The sequence below is a fragment of the Homo sapiens genome, chromosome Y (genome assembly GCF_000001405.40).
Source record: "Homo sapiens chromosome Y, GRCh38.p14 Primary Assembly".
Lineage (NCBI taxonomy): Eukaryota > Metazoa > Chordata > Mammalia > Primates > Hominidae > Homo > Homo sapiens.
Genome location: NC_000024.10, coordinates 1,492,883 through 1,512,102, shown reverse-complemented (window position 1 = coordinate 1,512,102; position 19,220 = coordinate 1,492,883). Strand labels below are relative to the sequence as shown.

Sequence of the window (19,220 nt, the reverse complement as noted above, 5' to 3'; positions counted from 1 at the left end):
CACAGGAGACCCTGGACAGGAGACCCCCCCGCCAGCCTGGGAGCCTCTTCTCTTTGCTTACATATCTGGTGTGATGAGCCCTGGACCAAGGAGCTAGGAAAAAAAGGCAGAGGAACAGGTGGGCCCCCATATCACCGAAGGCAGAACACTTGCTCACCTGGAATTCCAGAAGGACACACCTGGCCATTGTGGGTGTTGTCAGCGAGTGATGTGGGACAGACGAGAGGACTCAGGTGGGGGAAGTTATAAGGCAGGAGGCCATGTGTCAATCAGGAAGAACTCTCAGACAACAGACAGCTAAGAGAATCGTGTCTGGAGCCCCAGAAGGGACCCAGCTGGCCATCCGTAGACATGCCGTTGAAGGCAATGCTCAGTGCCGTCAAGAGAATGGAAGGTGTCAACTTAAAATCACGAGATTGGTTGGGCAAGGTGGCTCCTGTCTTTCACCCCAGTGCTTTGGGAGGTTGAAGTGGGAGGACAGTTTGAACCCAGGAGTTGGAGGCTGCAGTGGGCTGTGATCACACCACTGCATTCCAGCCTAGGTGACAGACCGAGATCTCGTCGCTTAAAGAAACAAAAAATGACAAGATGTACACATTTGGAGAGGGGAGCTTGATTTGTATAGCCTAACAGGCTGGGAAATGTAGCCTCTGGCAGAAACTAAAAGTAGACATTTCGAAGAAGAAAAGACAGAGATGGGAATTTATGTTGAATGAGATGACCAAGCATACTTGTATTCAACAGGTTACAGGAGGAGCTATGAATTTTAATGAAGGGCATCCTGACACGTGGATACAGGACAAACATGCCTGTGGCAGAAGTTCCACATTCACTTGGGGGTAGAGACTTTTAACCTTTAATGTGCCCCAATGAGGCTGTCTATATCAAAAGGTGTTTTCTTTTTTTCTTTTCTTTTTCTTTTTGAGACAGAGTCTCACTCTGTCGCCCAGGCTGGAGTGCAGTGGTGCGATCTTGGCTCACTGCAACCTCTGCCTTCCAGCTTCATGCCATTCTCCTGCCTCAGCCTCCTGAGTAGCTGGGACTACAGGCACCTGCCACCACAGCTGGCTAATTTTTTTGTATTTTTTAGTAGAGACGGGGTTTCACTGTGTTAGCCAGGATGGTCTCAATCTCCTGACCCCGTGATCCACCCGCCTTGGCCTTCCAAAGTGTTGGGATTACAGGCGGGAGCCACTGTGCCTGGCCTCTTTTCTTTTTCTTTTTGAGACGGAGTCACACTCTGTTGCCCAGGCTGGAGTGCAGTGACGCGATCACGGCTCACTGCAACCTCCGCCTCCCAGGTTCCAGCAATTCTCCTGCCTCAGCCTACTGAGTAGCTTGGATTACAGGTGCACGCCACCGTGCCTGGCTTAATTTTTGTGTTTTTAGTAGAGATAGGGTTTCACTGTGGTCGCCAGGCTGGTCTTGAACTCCTGACGTCAAGTGATCCACCCATCTCAGCCTCCCAAAGTGCTGGTATTACAGGCATGAGCCACTGCGCCTGGCTGTCAAAAGGGGCTTCCAGAACACAGAGGCACTGAGTGTGCAGCCTCTGTCAACCATCCAGAACCAGCCCATTGTCAGAGTCTCTTACCAGGAGAAAGTGGCTGAAATTAATCTCTTGTGCGATCAAAGTTGTAGTTATGGCTGGTGGAGCAGGGGATCCGTGAGTGAGCATCTGTGAGCTGGACGAGCTTCACCAGTTTTCATATTGTTCATCTCCAAGCCAGGGCTCGTTCAGCTGCTAGAGAAAAACAAAAAGCTTGTATTAGTGAGGACACTGGTGGTGTTCCTCGCAGCTACTCTCCCAGAGTAGTGAGTCCATCACGCTCTAAGCCAGGTGTAGACAGATAGATGAATAGATATAGCTATTCGATGATTGATAGATATTGAGGTAGACGGATGAATAGATTAGATGATAGATGATTGATAGCTAGCTATTGAGATAGATAGGTAATACATAGATATAGATGACAGATTGACAGATATTGAGACAGATAGGTGGTAGATGATAGATGTATAAAGATGATAGATGAGATAGATAGATAGATGATAGATAGAGGATAGTTAGATACATGGTAGATACAATGAATGGATAGATACATAGATACATAGATGATGGATGGATGGATGGATGCATAGATAATATTTACATAGATGGATGGATACATAGATACATAGATGATAGAGAAGATAGATAGATACATACATAGATAGATAGAATGGATAGATACATAGATACATAGATGATAGATAGATAATAGAGATAGATAGATAGATAGATAGATAGATAGATAGATAGATAGGATGGATACATAGATGATAGATAGATAGATAGATAGATAGATAGACAGATAGATACATAGATAGATACATAGATGCATAGATAGAATAAATGGATGGATGGATGGATGGATGGATGGATGGATGGATGAACACATACAGGATAGACAGATGGATGAATAGATGGATAGATACATACATGATAGATACATAATAGATACATGATAGATACAATGAATGGATGGATACATAGATACATAGATGATAGAATAGATGGATGGATGGATGGATGGATGGATGGATGAATGGATGGATGGAGGGATGGATGGATGGATGCATAGATGATAGACACATACATGGATGGATAGATACATAGATACATAGATGATAGATAGATAATAGAAATAGATAGATAGATAGATAGATAGATAGATAGATAGATAGAATAGATGGATGGATGGATGGATGGATGGATGATGGATAGATAAATACATACAGGATAGATAGATGGATGAATAGATGGATAGATACATAGATGATGGATAGATAGATAGATGGCTAGACAGATAGATACATAGATGATAGAGAGATAAATAGATGGATGGCTAGATAGGTAGATACATAGATGGATAGATAGATAGATAGATAGATAGATAGAATGGATGGATACATAGATGATAGATAGATAGATAGATAGATAGATAGATAGATAGATAGATACATAGATACATAGATAGATACATAGATAGATACATAGATAGATGCATAGATAGAATAAATGGATGGATGGATGGATGGATGGATGGATGGATGGATGAACACATACAGGATAGACAGATGGATGAATAGATGGATAGATACATACAGGATAGATAGATAATAGATACATGATAGATACAATGAATGGATGGATACATAGATACATAGATGATAGAATAGATGGATGGATGGATGGATGGATGGATGAATGGATGGATGGAGGGATGGATGGATGGATGCATAGATGATAGACACATACATGGATGGATAGATACATAGATACATAGATGATAGATAGATAATAGAAATAGATAGATAGATAGATAGATAGATAGATAGATAGATAGATAGATAGAATGGATGGATGGATGGATGGATGATGGATAGATAAATACATACAGGATAGATAGATGGATGAATAGATGGATAGATACATAGATGATGGATAGATAGATAGATGGCTAGACAGATAGATACATAGATGATAGATAGAGAGATAAATAGATGGATGGCTAGATAGGTAGATACATAGATGGATACATAGATAACCAATATAAGGAGTCTCTCATGTGGGGATAACCGATATGTGGAGTTTCTCAGCCTCAGCACTGCTGACATTTTGGGGCTGGATGACACTCTGTGGCAGGGCCGTCCCGTGCAGTGTAGTGTGTTGAACGGTGTCCCTGGGCTGCACCCACCAGATGCCAGGAGCTCCTCCACCCCGTCATGACAGCCAGAGATGTCGCTGCTGCCCAGCGTCCCCTGGGGACCACAGTGGCCCCAGTTGAAAACCTTTGATCAACACTCAGCCTGGTTAATGGCAGCATGAACGCCACCTCCCCAGCTGACTGCCTGCAGCTCTGCCAGCCCCTGGGGCTTTCCATGGTTTTAGAGACACTCAGCAATACTGCCAGAACATCAGAGTCTGTTGTGAGGAATCTTATGTGACCTGCCCTAGGCCATTGCTGGATTTTTCCCCCAAACCCACAGGGCGTCGGGGGGACAGGGGCATCGTGATGAGAGGTCATCAGGCACACGCCATACGGGGTGAAAGAGGTGGGGGAGGCGGCAGGGAGGTCTCCTGAGGGATGGCGGTGTGGGTCCCGCCTGGTCCCGCCCGGCTGCAAAGACGTGGGGTGTGTGTTGAGTGCCAGACGGGGCTGGCTTGATTCAGGCGTGCCTTTACATGTTATCAGCCGTGGGTCTGACCACGGCCATGCCATGACCTAATAGCTAACCTCAATTTCCTCTTCTGTCAAGTGAGAAAAACCTTTACTTTCCCTCCCGTCACCACAGGGGTAGTGTACCCAGAAGCAGGCTCAAACTCAACATGAAGCTACTCATGAATGTGGCAGGGAGACATGGGAAGTCAGGCAGGGGGGCGGAAATCGCGCGTCGCCAACAGGAGGGGCCGGCACGTGGGGACTCCGCCGGGTGCTGTGACCGGGTGCCGTCACGGCCCCGAGCCTCAGTTTAGCAATCCACACAACAGGTATGTCGCCAGTACTGCAGGGACTCATGAGCTACCCCAGCTCCGAACCACCGTCGGCGGTCACCGGGGATATGAGCGACAGCTTTTCTGGCTCAGTGATGATTTTCAGCTAGGAAGGCTTGGGTGGGGTCCTGGCGTGTCTCCCGGGACAACTCCTCATCCAACGAGAGATGAGGTTGACTATTTCCAGGACTCAGGAAGTAGTGGGTGCTGACTGACAGGTGTTCAAGGACAATGTGGAATGTCAGGTCTCATCTCGTCCGGTGAAATCTAGGGGACTTCATCTTGGACACGCACAGAGAGAGCAAGTGAGGACGCCTGCCCTGATCATGCCTCTGAACTTAGACCCTCCTTGCTTCGCTCAGAGGCAGCTGGGGGTGTTGCATGTACGCAAGGGCTTCGGGAGGCTTTTGGAAACAGTAGACCACGGAACTTTGGGGCCCATGAGGACTCCGATTTGAACAAACAGGGACCTGATACCTTGAGACTTGACCAGGTCTGAGTTATTCTTGGTGGCCAGCTCCTAGGACCCCTGAATCCATGGACTCCTAGGACCCGTCCATTGCCTACAGAAATGAAAATGGCCAGAAAGTGGCCGGGCGCGGTGGCTCACGCCTGTCATCCCAGCACTTTGGGAGGCCTAGGTGGGCGGATCACGAGGTCAGGAGATCGAGACCATCCTGGCTAACACGGTGAAACCCCGTCTCTACTAAAAATACAAAAATTAGCCGGGCGTGGTGGCGGGTGCCTGTAATCCCAGGTACTCGGGAGGCTGAGGCAGAAGAATCACTTCAACCAGGGAGGCAGAGGTTGTAGTGAGCCAAGATTGCGCCACTGCACTCCAGCCTGGGCGACAGAGCAAGACTCCATCTCAAAAAAAAAAAAAGAAAGAAAGAAAGTGGCCAGCAAGTGACAAACGTCCAAAATGTCCAGGGTCCCTCTGAGTCACGGAGCTCATGGTGATGTCGTCAAGATTCTGGTCAACGTGGTAGATACATCTTTACATCCAAACACCTCTCTCTCTCCTCTGCCTTCTTTCTTTCCTGGACTCCTGATACCCCCAGCTCAGGGCTGAAAAGGAAGCATTTTCTCAATGGAAAGGACAAAGAGGCAGTCTTCTCTCAGAAGAGACATCTCCATCTATAGCCTGGTGGGCCACACCAGTTCTGTCTAGAAGGACACAAACTTCTGTCTTCTTTTGTCTACCCAATTAGCCTCCTGGCTCATCTTAGAAGGGGAAGGGCACAGGGGAGCATGTTTTAAGAAGGAAATTAAGCATCAGGCATGGTGGCTCACACCCGTCATCCCAGCAGTTTGGGAGGCTCAGGCAGGCGGGTCGTCTAAGGTCAGGAGTTCGAGACCAGCCTGGCCAACATGGCAAAACCCCGTCTCTACTAAAAATACAAAAATTAGCCAGGTGTGGTGGCGGGTGCCTATAATCCCAGCTACTAGGGAGGCTGAGGCAGGAGAATCACTTGAACCCGGGAGGCGGAGCTTGCAGTGAGCCAAGACTGTGCCACTGCACTCCAGCCTGGGTGACGGAGTGTGACTCTGTGTCAAAAAAAAAAAAAAAAAAAAAAAGAAGAAAGAAATTAAGATGCTTTGTTCAATGTAAAAAAGATATTCTTTTGTTACAAAGTTTAGAAATGGGAAATGATTTTTAAAAATGCAATACTCAAGGAATTTTACACAGGGGTAGAAATGGAAACTCTACTTGCAAGTCCTCCTCCTGGATTCTTTTGTTTTTTGTTTTTTGTGTTTTATTGTTTGTTTGTTTTTGAGACGCAGTCTTGCTCTGTCGCCCAAGCTGGAGTGCAATGGCGCCATGTCGGCTCACTGCAACCTCCGCCTCCCTGGTTCAAGCGATTCTCCTGCCTCAGCCTCCCGAGTAGCTGGGATGACAGGCGCCCGCCACCACACCCAGCTAAGTTTTATATTTTGAGTAGAGATGGAGTTTCACCATGTTGGCCAGGCTGGTCTCCAACTCCTGACCTCAGGTGATCGACCCGCCTCGGCCTCCCAGAAGGCTTTTTGTATCTTCCGAAGCTAGTGGATAATATTCTGAAATTGTTGATGAGACACCTAGCTTCATCTTCAGTTGTCTGCAGACACTCATCCAGTGCCTCCATGTGGAGTGGTTCCATTTTTCAGCCCTGTCCTTGCTGGCCACGAGGAAACTCAGTCCATGGACACTATCTGTGGTCATTAAGACGCCAAGGCCAACGGAAAGGCCGGTGACGAGGCCCTCTGTTGCTTCCTTCTCAGAAAGATAAAGATCTGCTTTCCACAGTCTCATCCGTTTTTGTGATGGGCAAGTGGCCAGAGTACCACGTCAGTCACAGAAACCCAGCTCAGGTCCTCTGAGACGCCCTGATTCACGTTTCCAATTTGAGGTTGAGCATGAGATTTTCTTCCTTTTTTTTTTTTTTTTGAGACAGAGTCTCTCTCTGTCACCCAGGCTGGAGTGCAGTGGTACGATCTCGGCTCACTGCAACCTCTGCCTCCCGGGTTCACGCCATTCTCCTGCCTCAGCCTCCCAAGTAGCTGGGACTACAGGCGCCTGCCACCACGCCCGGCTAATTTATTTTTGTATTTTTTTTAGTAGAGACAGGGTTTCACCGTGTTAGCCAGGATGGTCTCGATCTCCTGACCTTGTGATCCACCCGCCTCGGCTTCCCAAAGTGCTGGGATGACAGGCGTGAGCCACCACGCCTGGCCAATGCCCGGCTAATTTTTGTATTATTAGTAGAGACAGGGTTTCAGCATGTTGGCCAGGCTGGCCTCGAACTCCTGACCTCAGGTGATCCGCCCGCATCAGCCTCCCAAAGTGCTGGGATTACAGGCGTGAGCCACAACACCCGACCTAATTTTGTATTTTTAGTAGAGATGGGATTTCACCATGTTGGCCAGGCTGGTCTCAAACTCCTAACCTCAAGTGATCCACCTGCCTCAGACTCCCAAAATGCTGGGATGACAGGCATGAGCCACTGCACCCAGCCTGATCAGTTTTGACCACAGAGAACATTTCAACAGAGGGAAGTTTCCAGCACGTGGGATCCTTATGGTAGCAGGAAGTGAAACCTATGTTTAAATTTCAACACATGAACTGTTTTGCTGTCATGAGGTGGACAGGGTCACCACTAAAAGGCTTTCAAATCCAGGTCTACATCACATCAGGAGGCAATAAGATTGAAACAGAAGCTTCAAGGGGGGCAAAGAAGCATGTGGAATTCCCAAATCTTTTTTTTTTTTTGACACAGAGTCTTGGTCTGTTGCCCAGGCTGGAGTGCAGTGGCGCCATCTCGGCTCACCGCAACCTCCGCCTCCCGGGTTCCAGCGATTCTCCTGCCTCAGCCTCCCGAGTAGCTGGGACTACAGGCGCCTGCAACTACGCCCAGCTAATTTTTGTATTTTTAGTAGAGACGGGGTTTCATCATATTGGACAGGCTGGTCTCGAATTCCTGACCTCATGATCCGCCCGCCTCGGCCTCCCAAAGTGCTGGGATTACAGGCGTGAGCCACCACGTCCAGCAGAATTCCCAAATCTTTAAAGACAGTTCCTTTACAGGTTATTTAAGTGGATAATTGCCTGTAAAACACCAACATGATTACAGTCTATTCAGTTCCTCCAGAACAGCGACAAAGCAGCTGTGTTTGGTTTTTCTTGTTTTTTGTTTTGTTTGAGACTAAGTCTCACCCAGGCTGGAGTACAGTGGCATGATCTCAGCTCACTGCAACCTCTGCCTCCCGGGTTCAAGTGATTCTCCTGCCTCAGCCTCCTGATTAGCTGGGACTACAGGTGCCTGCCACCATGCCCAGCTAATTTTTGTATTTTTAGCAGAGACGGGGTTTTGCCACATTGGCCAGGCTGTTCTCGAACTCCTGACCTCAGATGATCCACCCGCCTCGGCCTCCCAAAGTGCTGGGATTACAGGTGTGAGCCACCACACCTGGCTAATTTTTGTATTTTTAGTAGAGACGGGGTTTACCACGTTGGCCAGGCTGGTCTCGAACTCCTGACCTCAGGTGATCTGCTCGCCCTGGCCTCCCGAAGTGCTGGGATGACAGGTGTGAACCACTACGCCCAGCTGGCAGTTGTATTTTAAGTAACAAAGCTCGTGGCATGTCAGAAAGTGCCTGCATCTTTCAAACTTGTTCAGTAGTAACATTAAAATTATTTTAGGGGTGCAGAGACAAAGCCATTTCTGTGAGTCCCCTGAGGCTGACACAAAAAATGCCACAAACTGGGGAGTTCGACAACAGGAATTTACTTTCTTACAGTTCCGGGGGCCAGAAGTCTGAGATCAAAATGTCTCAGGTCCGTGCTCCCTCAAGGAGCTCTAGGGGAGGGTCCTTCCTGTCTCTCCCAGCTCCTGGGGGCTCCAGGCATCCCTGGGCTTGTGGCCGCGTCATTCCAGGCTCTGTCTCCGTCTCCACGTGGCCTTCTCCTCTGTGTCTGCGTCTCCTCTTCTGTCTTTTACCAGGGCACCTGTCATTGGATTTAGGGCCCAGCCTAATCCAGGAGTATCTCATCTTGAGATCCTTAACTCATTAAATCTGCAAAGTTCTTATTTCCAAATAAGGTCTCATTCCAGGTTCTGGGCTCTAGGATATGGACATATCTTTCCAGGATCCGCTGTTCAACCCATTACAATTGGATCCAGTTCCCTCCGGAGGCTCCTTCCTGTCTCTCCCAGCTCCTGGGGGCTCCAGGCATCCCTGGGCTTGTGGCCGCGTCATTCCAGGCTCTGTCTCCGTCTCCACGTGGCCTTCTCCTCTGTGTCTGTGTCTCCTCTCCTGTCTCTTAGAAGGACACCTGTCATTGCATTTAAGGCCCACCCAGACAATGCAGGATTATTTTCTCTCAAGATCCACAACGGAATGAATCTGCAAAGACCCTCTTTTCCAAATGAAACCCCCTCCCCAAATAGCAGGGCTCAGGACACGGACATATCTCTGGGGGCCACCATCCAACCCAGCATGGGAGGCCCTCGATCTGGGTTTGCAGGTGGGGAAGGCTGCTGAGAGTAGGGACAGGGGCGGCTCACGTGGCAGCCAGCACAGGGGCTCTTCGGCAAAGCGTGTTGCCGGGAGGCAAACAGGGTCCCCAGAGAGTCAGTAGAAAGAGGAACCTGGCTCGCAGCGGGGTCCTGTCCCTGGCTGAGTGTCACCAACACTCACTCTGTGTTCGAAGTGGGGGAGGGAGGGGAGGAGGTTTGCCACCCCCACCCCTGCCCCCCGGGAGGACATGACCAAAACAGAGATAAGCAAATCCATGTTCTTGCTCGTGTATCTTCAGTGATGTGGTCCCACTCCTCATAAACCTAGACAGGACTTTATTTCCAAATAGAAAAATGAGGCCAGGCGTGGTGGCTCACGTCTGTCATCCCAGCACTTTGAGAGGCCGAGGTGGGTGGATCACCTGAGGTCAGGAGTTCAAGACCAGCCTGGCCACCACAGTAAAACCCTGTGTCTACTAATAATACAAAAATGAGCTGGATGTGGTGGCACACGCCTGTAGTTCCAGATATTCAAGAGGCCGAGGCAGGACAATCGTTTGAACCCGGGAGGCGGAGGTTGCAGTGAGGCAAGATCACAGCGCTGCACTCCAATCTGGGTGACAGAGCGAGATTTCGTCTCAAAAAATAATAATAATAATCAATAAAAATGAAAACTCGCCGGGCGTGGTGGCTCATGCCTGTAATCCCAGCACTTTGGGAGGCCGAGACAGGCAGATCACAAGGTCCAGATATCGAGACCATCCTGGCTAACACGGTGAAACCCCATCTCTACTAAAAATACAAAAAATTAGCCGGGCGTGGTGGTGCGCGCCTGTAATCCCAGCTACTCGGGAGGCTGAGGCAGGAGAATCACTTGAACCCGGGAGATGGAGGTTGCAGTGAGCCAAGATCGCACCACTGCACTCCAGCCTGGGCAACAGAGTGAAACTTTGTCTCAAATAATAATAATAATAAAAAATAAAAATGAAAACTAAGACGGGGCAATATAGTGAGACCCCTATGTCTACAAAAATAAATAATTAGCCAGCCATGGTGGTGAGCACCTGTGGTCCCAGCTGCTCAGGAGGCTGAGGTGGGAGGATCGGTTCAGGCCAGGAAGTTGAGGTTGCAGTGAGCTATATAATGTCACCATGGCACTCTAGCCTGGGGCAACAGAGCAAGACCTTATGTCTCCATAAATAAATACAGAAAAACGAAAGTGAAAATGAAAACGCATCAGAAAGTCAAACACAGGCCAAAAGTCTGCAAAGCACCGTCACAGGGATGCACAGAGTGCTTCCAGGGGTCTGATATTTACGTCCCTTGAAGTCGGACCGAAAACATTCAGATGTAAGCCTGGACATGGTATCTGAGAAGACACAGCCACCTCCTTCCAAGACGTAGTTCACAAGAGGGCCCTGGGACTCTCCGGCCAGCTCTGTGAGCTTTGGAAGATGGGCGTAGAGTCTGTCACAGGAAGGAAGGCTGGATAGCAGCCCTGTGGTAAAGTTAAAAGGTCAGGCTTAAAAATCCCCACCTCTCCCAGGACAGAACCGAGAGATTCAGGCCACCCTGGGCCAGACAGGCGGCCCCAGCTGCTTGGCCTGGAAAACCACCCAGGGGATTGTAATGGGTCATTTCCCTCTGGCGGGGAGGTTGTGTCTCCCAGAACCTCGGAGCCTGGGTGCTGCTGGGGGCTTTCCTGGTTTTAGCACACCCAAAATCCTATGTCCACGGCAGCCCATTGGTCGTCACAAACAGGGCTGGGGGTGGCGGCGGCTCAGAGCAATGGGCCTCTGTTGACTTCTAAAGAATTAACGTGGCCGGGCGCAGGGCCTCTCGCCTGTAATCCCAAGACTTTGGGAGGGCTAGGTTGGAGGATCACCTGGGGTCAGGAGTTCGAGACCAGCCTGGCCAACATTTAGTAGAAACCCCGTCTCTACCAAAAATACAAAAATTAGCTGGGTGTGGTGGCGTGTACCTGGAATCCCAGCTACTCGGGAGGCTGAGGCAGGAGAATCACTTGAACTCGGGAGGCGGAGGTTGCAGTGAGCCGAGATCACACCACTGCACTCCAGCCTAGATGACAGAGTGAGACTCCGTCTCAAAAAACAAAAAAAAAAATTAGCTGGGCATGGTGGTGCACGCCTGTAGTCCCAGCTACTTGAGAAGCTGAGGTGGGAGGATCACTAGAACCCAGGAGTTCAAGGCTGCTGTGAGCCATGATTGTGCCAATGCACTCCAGCCTGGGCAACAGAGTGAGACCCTACCTCAAAATAAGTACATAAATAAGAGAATAAGAAAACAATTACATTAACAATAACACCAAAAAGAATAAAACAGTTAGAAATTAATCATGAAAGTAGATTTGTACACCGAAAACTAAAAAAAAACATTAAAAAACAACAACAGGCCGGGCGCGGTGGCTCACGCCTGTCATCCCAGCACTTTGGGAGGCCGAGGCAGGCGGATCATGAGGTCAGGAGATCGAGACCATCCTGGCTAACACGGTGAAACCCCGTCTCTACTAAAAATACAAAAAATTAGCTGGGCATGGTGGTACACGCCTGTAGTCCCAGCTACTCGGGAGGCTGAGGCAGGAGAATGGCGGGAACCCGGGAGGCGGAGCTTGCAGTGAGCTGAGATCACACCACTGCACTCCAGCCTGGGCCACAGAGCGAGACTCCGTCTCAAAAAGAAAAACAAAACAAAACAAAACAAAACAAAAAAACAGATTCAAAAAATTAGAGATATAAATAAATAGAAAGACATCCCAGGTTGCCTCTTGTCTTGTTCCCAAGTTACTTACGGCTCTGTTTTGGGGAAATCATTTAGAAAGTTTTGGTCAGGTTGTTTGAATGTAGTATTTTAAATTATAGGGTTTTTTTGTTTTGTTTTGTTTTTATTTCTTTTTTTTCCTTATTAATACGTTTCACCTAATGACACATTTCCCATAAGTTATAGTTTTAATATACGCAGTAAATACATAGTACGTGAAACATTGCATTAAAGTTTGGGCGTAAGAGGCGATCTGGTGATAGTTTGCAGGAACATAACCAGTAGGTGTGGCAAGCATTACCTCATGCGTAAGAAAAGGCCAGGGCCACCAGGCATGGTGGTTCACGTCTGTAATCCCAGCATTTTGGGGGCCAAGGCAGGAGGATCACCTGAGGTCAGGAGTTCGAGATCAGCCTGGCCAACATGGTGAAACCCCGTCTCTACTAAAAATATAAAAATTGGCCAGGCGTGGTGGCACACACCTCGTGTAATCCCAGCTACTCAGGAGGCTGAGGCAGGAAAATCGCTTGAACCTGGGAGGCAGAGGTTTCACTGAACCGAGATCGTGCCATTGCACTCCAGCCTGGGGGACAAGAGTGAAACTGTCTCAAAAAAAAAAAAAAAAAAGAAAAGAAAAAGAAAAAGAAAAAAAACAGAGGGTTGGGTGCAGGGGCTCATGCCTGTAATCCCAGCACTTTGGAAGGCTGAGGCGGGTGGATCACAAGATAAGGAGTTCAAGATCAGCCTGGGCAACATGGTGAAACCCTGTCTCTACTAAAAATACAAAAATTAGCTAGGCATTATGGCACGCGCCTGTAATCCCAGCTACTCAGGAGGCTGAGGCAGGAGAATCGCTTGAACTCAGGAGGCGGAAGTTGCAGTGAGCCAAGATCGTGCCACTGCACTCCAGCCTGGGTGACAAGAGTGAGACTCCATCTCAAAAAATAACAGAGGGCCAGGTGCGGTGGTTCGCACCTGTCATCCCAGAACTTTGGGAGGCTGAGGAGGGCGGATCACAAGATCAGGAGTTCGAGACCAGGAGTTCAAGATCAGGAGTTCAGCCTGTGCAACATGGTGAAACCGCATCTTTACTAAAAATACAAAAATTAGCCGGGCATGGTGGCGCGTGCCTGTAATCCCAGCTACTCAGGAGGCTGAGGCAGGAGAATCGCTTGAACCTGGGAGGCAGATGTTGCAGTGAACCAAGATTGTGCCACTGCACTCTAGCCTGGGTGACAAGAGGAAAACTCCGTCTGAAAAAAAAAAAATACAGAGTTGGCTGTTGCAGGTCCCATAGTGTTGGGAGGTCACCTCTTGTGGGCTGTAACCAAGATGGGCTGGCCCTCTTCAAGTTTTCTTTCTTTTTCTTTTTTTTTTTTTTTTTTGAGACAGAGTCTCGCTCTGTCGCCCAGGCTGGAGTGCAGTGGCGCGATCTCGGCTCACTGCAAGCTCCGCCTCCCAGGTTCACGCCATTCTCCTGCCTCAGCCTCCCGAGTAGCTGGGACTACAGGCACCCGCCACCACACCCGGCTAATTTTTTGTGTTTTCAGTAGAGACGGGGTTTCAGCATGTTGGCCAGGATGGTCTTGATCTCCTGACCTCGCGATCTGCCCGCCTCGGCCTCCCAAAGTGCTGGGATGACAGGCGTGAGCCACCGCGCCCGGCCTCATCAACAGTTTTCTGACACTGTGGGTGCTGTTTAAAGTTCAGGAGCAGCTTGAGTCTCCAGGGCAAACCAGGAATCAGCTCGCAGGGAGCAGTTGGTCTTTTATTTTTATCCTTCATGCTCTCCGTGTCTGTTGGCTGGCACCCGGCGGGAGTGTACTGCTCATCCCTCTCTGCTTCTTACCTCCTCAGTCCTGCTTCCTGGGTTCAGCTGCCCCAAACCAAATACTCACAGCTTCCTGGATGGCAAGGACCCGCTAGGCTGCAGGTCTGACACCCACAGGCCTCCAAGCCGGTCCCAACAAGCCCCTCGCCGCCCCACTGCACCCCAAACCAACCATCTCTCACCAGCCTGGATGCTACTCCACACCTCAGCAAGTCCGGTACCTTCTTGGAGATGCCAGGCGTAATAACAAACAGAAAAGGCCATATTTGCTTGTCAGCATACTATTTATTTATTTATTTATTTTGAGACAGAGTTTACTCGTCACCCAGGCTGGAGTGCCGTGGCACGGTCTCGGCTCACCGCAACCTCCGCCTCCCGGGTTCAAGCGATTCTCCTGCCTCGGCCTCCTGAGTAGCTGGGATTACAGGCACCCGCCACCATGCCCGGCTAATTTGTGTATCTTTAGTAGACACAGGGTTTCACCGTCTTGGCCAGGCTGGTCTCAAACTCCCAACCTCAGGCGATCTGCCCACCTCGGCCTCCCAAAATGCTGGGATTACAGGTGTGAGCCACCGTGCCCGGCCTACACTCCAGCTTGGGCCACAGAGTGAGACCTTGTCTTGAAAAAAAAAAAGAGAAAACCCTAATTAACATGCTATTTAAAAAAAAAAACATTGATCTCTCTCTGTGATGTTTGAGTTTCTTTTTTTTCTTTTTCTTTTCTTTTTTTTTTTTTTTGAGACGGAGTCCCACTCTGTCCCCCAGGCTGGAGTGCAGTGGCGCGATCTCAGCTCACTGCAACCTCCACCTCCCGGGTTGAAGTGATTCTCCTGCCTCAGTCTCCTGAATAGCTGGGATTACAGGCACCCGCCACCACCACGCCTGGCTAATTTTTGTATTTTAAGTAGAGACAGGGTTTCACCATGTTGATCAGACTGGTCTCGAACTCCTGATCTCAAGTGATCCACCCGCCTCGGCCTCCCAAAGTGCTGGGATTACAGGCGTGAGCCACCACGCCCGGCCTGATGTTTGCATTTCTATCCATACTGGTTTACTAGCGGAGTGACTGAGTTTCTAAAATACTAATATTAAAAATACTTGGCCAGGTGCGGTGGGTGCCTGTCATCCCAGCTACTCGGGAGCCTGAGGCAGGAGAATTGCTTGAACCAGGGAGGCGGAGGTTGCAGGGAGCCGACATCGCGCTACTGCACTCCAACCTGGGAGACAGAGTGAGACTCCATCTCACAAAAAAGAAAGAAAGAAAGAAAAAAAACTCCCAGGAAGCAGTGTTGAATATCTTCCCAAGTCCTAGTTACCTACAAATGACTGCTCCGTCTGAAGCCGCGGCTGACTGAATGTTTTAAGGGGACACCACCTTCCTTCCCAGCCTGTTCCCTCCAGGAAAATAGTAGAGGACAGAGGCTCCAAGAAGTAGATTTGGGAACTGCAGACAAGTTGCTTCCTGTGAACTGAGCGGAGAGAGAGAGAAACCCTCTGAGAGGGCAGAGGGCAGGATCCCAGGGAGTCGCACCCGGGAGGGCTGTGGCTGTGGCTGTGAGCCTTCTCATGTGGCTCCCCAACGCCAAGGCAGGCAGCCACTGAACAATTGTGAATAACCATTTCCCACCCTGTAACGTGCTGTCTCTACTGAGAAGCTGGCGGGGGAGCATGACTCCAGATGGCCTCGAGATGGTCTTTGGGATTCAACAGCAGGGAGAAGCCAGTGGTACCCAAGTTGACGTCCATTCAGCCTAGGTCTCAGCAGCATCCCAAGTTCACTTCCATTCAGCCTAGGTTTCGGCAGCATCTCTGACGTCTGCCTTCTCCCAACTGCTTCAGAGTGGATGGGTAGTCAGCTCGGCCGCCGTAATAAAACACTGCAAACTGGGTGGACTGTAAACAACAGACATTGTTTCTCCCACAGTCCTGGAGGCTGGAGGTCTGAGATCCAGGTGTGGGCAGGGCTGGTTCCTCCTGAGGCCTCTCTTGTGGACTTAGAGACATCGACTTCTCCCTGTGTCCTCACAGGGTCATCTCTCTGTGTGTGTCTGTGTCCTCATCTCCTCTTCTTATGAGGTGTCTTAGTCCATCTCAGGCTGCTGTCACAGAATACCGTAGACTGGGGGGCTTATACACAACAGACATTGATTCTCCCACAGTCCTGGAGGGTGGAGGTCTGAGATCCAGGTATGGGCAGGGCTGGTTCCTCCTGAGGCCTCTCTCCTGGGCTTGGAGACGCCGTCTTCTCCCTGTGTCCTCACAGGGTCATCTCTCTGTATGTGTCTGTGTCCTCATCTCCTCTTCTTATGAGGTGTCTTTGTCCATTTCGAACGACTATCCCAGAATACCATAGACTGGGCAGCTTAGAAACAACAAACATTGATTCTCCCACAGTCCTGGAGGCTGGAGGTCTGAGATCCAGGTATGGGCAGGGCTGGTTCCTCCTGAGGCCTCTCTCCTGGGCTTGGAGATGCCGTCTTCTCCCTGTGTCCTCACAGTGTCGTCCCTCTGTGTGTGTCTGTGTCCTCATCTCCTCTTCTTATGAGGACACCGGTCCTATTGGATCAGGGCCCACTCCTGGTGACCTCATTTTACTGTAGTTAACTCTTTAAAGAGGTAACCTCCAAATACAGCCACATTGTGTGGTCCTAGGGGTTAGGACTTTAACGTATGAATTTGGGAGGGTACAATGCAGCCTGTAACAGACACAACACTCAGAAAATATATACTGAGCTCGCTGTTTGTAATAAAGGGCTCTCCCTTTAATTTTTAAGACAGGGTCCTGCTCTGTCACCCAGGCTGGAGTGCAGTGGTGTGAGTTCAATTCAGTTCCGAACAGTGAGTACAGTGCAGTTCAGCTCACTGCAGCCTCAAGCTTCCAAATAAAAAACTGTCTTAGCATCATCCAATGAGTACTGACTACTTTTAAATAGTGAATACGCAGCCGGGCGCAGTGGCTCATGCCCGTAATCCCAGCACTTTGGGAGGCCGAGGCGGGTGGATCACCTGAGGTCAGGAGTTCAAGACCAGCCTGACCAACATGATGAAACCCTGTCTCTACTAAAAAAAAAATACAAAAAAAAAAAAAAATTAGCCAGGTGTGGTGATGTATGCCTGTCTTCCCAGCTACTTGGGAGGCTGAGGCAGAATCATTTGAACCTGGGAGGAGGAAGTGACAGTGAGCGGAGACGGTGCCATTGCACTCCAGGTTGGGAGGCAGAGCGAGACTCAGTCTCAAAAGAAAACAAATAGTGACTATGGACATACATATTTTTAAAAATTAGTATTTTCACATAAAGCATAAAGTAATATCCAATATATCCAAGAGAAGCTGTCCTTAAGTTTAACCCATTTTCTAATCCTAAACTAACCCTTCTGAGGCAATGGTCCCGCATACATGGAGGCCAAACTCATTTTTTTTTTTTAAAGCCTAATTGAAAAATACCGCATTAGGAGAAAAACACATAAAATCCCCCTCGGATTACCTGACCTCGCTCCCTGGGGCCCAGGGCCAAAAAGAGGAAGCTTTTCCATCTATTGTTGCTCTGGCCAGTTTCATAACCGCCATGCACCAAGCTCAGTCTGCAGATGACAGATCGCAGCTAAGAGCAGCTTGCTGGGTCTCCGGAGGCTGCTGGTGTCTGTCTCAAGGTGCGGTGCAGGCACAGCCAGTGGGATTTTTTTCCCAGCAGAGCAGAGAGCTGGCCCTCCACTCCTGCTCCTGTGCGGAGCTCACTCCCATAGGGCAGCCGCCTCTGGCCCAGGAGGAGGGTCCCCCAGGACCCCCTGCCTAGCTTGACGGCTGCTCAGACAAGCACCACCAGACCAGCATCACCCAGGACGTCTGCCCTCCCTGCAGCCACCGTTGTAAGTCACGGGGACCTGGGAGTGTTCGGGTAGGAGAGGCTGCTCTGCAGAAATACCCCAGCTAGCAGGGCATATCCAGGCCAGAGACGCTGCTGAATGCCAGAGAAAGCCCTCAGCTCAGCCTCCCTTTGGGGTGTGTGATTTTTAACCCGGGCTCACCAGAGTGCTGCAAAAGGACACACAGCCTCCAGGCAGGAGCTGTGCCATTTGCACAAGCTCTCGAGGGTCGCAGAGAGGGCTGAGGTTGGCCTAAAACAGACCCCCTTCTTGCACATCTTCAGACGTTGCCGCAAGAAAAGAGCAAAATCGTCTTGTCCGTTTTAACGGAGATTCCCAGTTTGCAAGCCAATTGTTCCTTTGACGAGGGGTACAGGCCGGCCCACGCCGAGATGCTGGGTTGGGTGGCTCTCGGATGAAGAAAGTCCCACCTTCTTTAAAATGCGCTCTCCCAGAAATCTTCTTCACACCTGTCTTTGGCTTTTATTTTGCTTTTGTTTTGTGGGGAGGAGACGTTGTTCTTGGTTTTTCGCTAATAAAAATAGTTCACGTCGACTGAGTGAGGAGGAAGCAGCAGCCACTTTTACAAGGGCTTTATCTCTGCGATCTTTCCTTCCTTCCCTCCCTCCCTCCTCCCTCCTTCCTCCTTCCTCCTCCTTCCCTCCCTCCTCCTTCCTCCTTCCTCCTCCTTCCTCCTTCCCTCCCTCCCTCCTTCCTCCTTCCTCCCTCCCCCTCCCCTCCCCTCCCCTCCCCTCCCCTCCCCTCCCCTCCCCTCCTCTCCTGTCCTCTCTTCTCCTCTCCTTTCTTTCCTTTCTTGTCTCGCACTGTTGCCCAGGCTGGAGTGCAGTGGCGTGACCTCTGCTCACTGCAACCTCCGCCTCCCGGGTTCAAGTGATTCTCCTGCCTCAGCCTCCCACGTAGCTGGGATTACAGGCGCCCACCCCAACGCCCGGCTAATTTTTTGTATTTTTTAGTAGAGATGGGGTCTCACTATGTTGACCAGGCTGATCTCGAACTCCCGACCTCATGATCCACCCGCTTCGGCCTCCCAAAGTGCGCCTGGCCTGATCTCTGGGATTTTCGAAACTTCGTGAGACAGGTGCTGTTACAATCATCCCTGTTTTACCAGTAACGGAAACTGAGGCAGACATGGAGGCGGGGGTGTGTTCAAGACCTACAACCAGAAAGAGGCAGAGGTGGGCGCTGAGTGCTG

At 49.8% G+C, this 19,220-nt stretch overlaps 1 protein-coding gene across 8 annotated transcripts in view; it reads left to right on the top strand.

The window, feature by feature from the left end:
• P2RY8 (P2Y receptor family member 8) overlaps window positions 1-19,220 on the top strand; it is a 74,605-nt gene that overhangs the window by 25,083 nt on the left and 30,302 nt on the right. The window contains exons 1-2 of one of the 8 annotated variants that reach the window (NM_001424192.1): window positions 17,723-18,010; window positions 18,982-19,106. The exons of 4 other annotated variants lie outside the window; for them this stretch is intronic. The gene's annotated coding sequence lies outside the window, so the exon portion shown is untranslated. Of the gene's footprint in view, window positions 1-17,722; window positions 18,011-18,981; window positions 19,107-19,220 lie in introns of those variants that run through there. 3 more of the 8 variants (NM_001424190.1, NM_001424189.1, NM_001424191.1) reach the window with 3 other exon arrangements.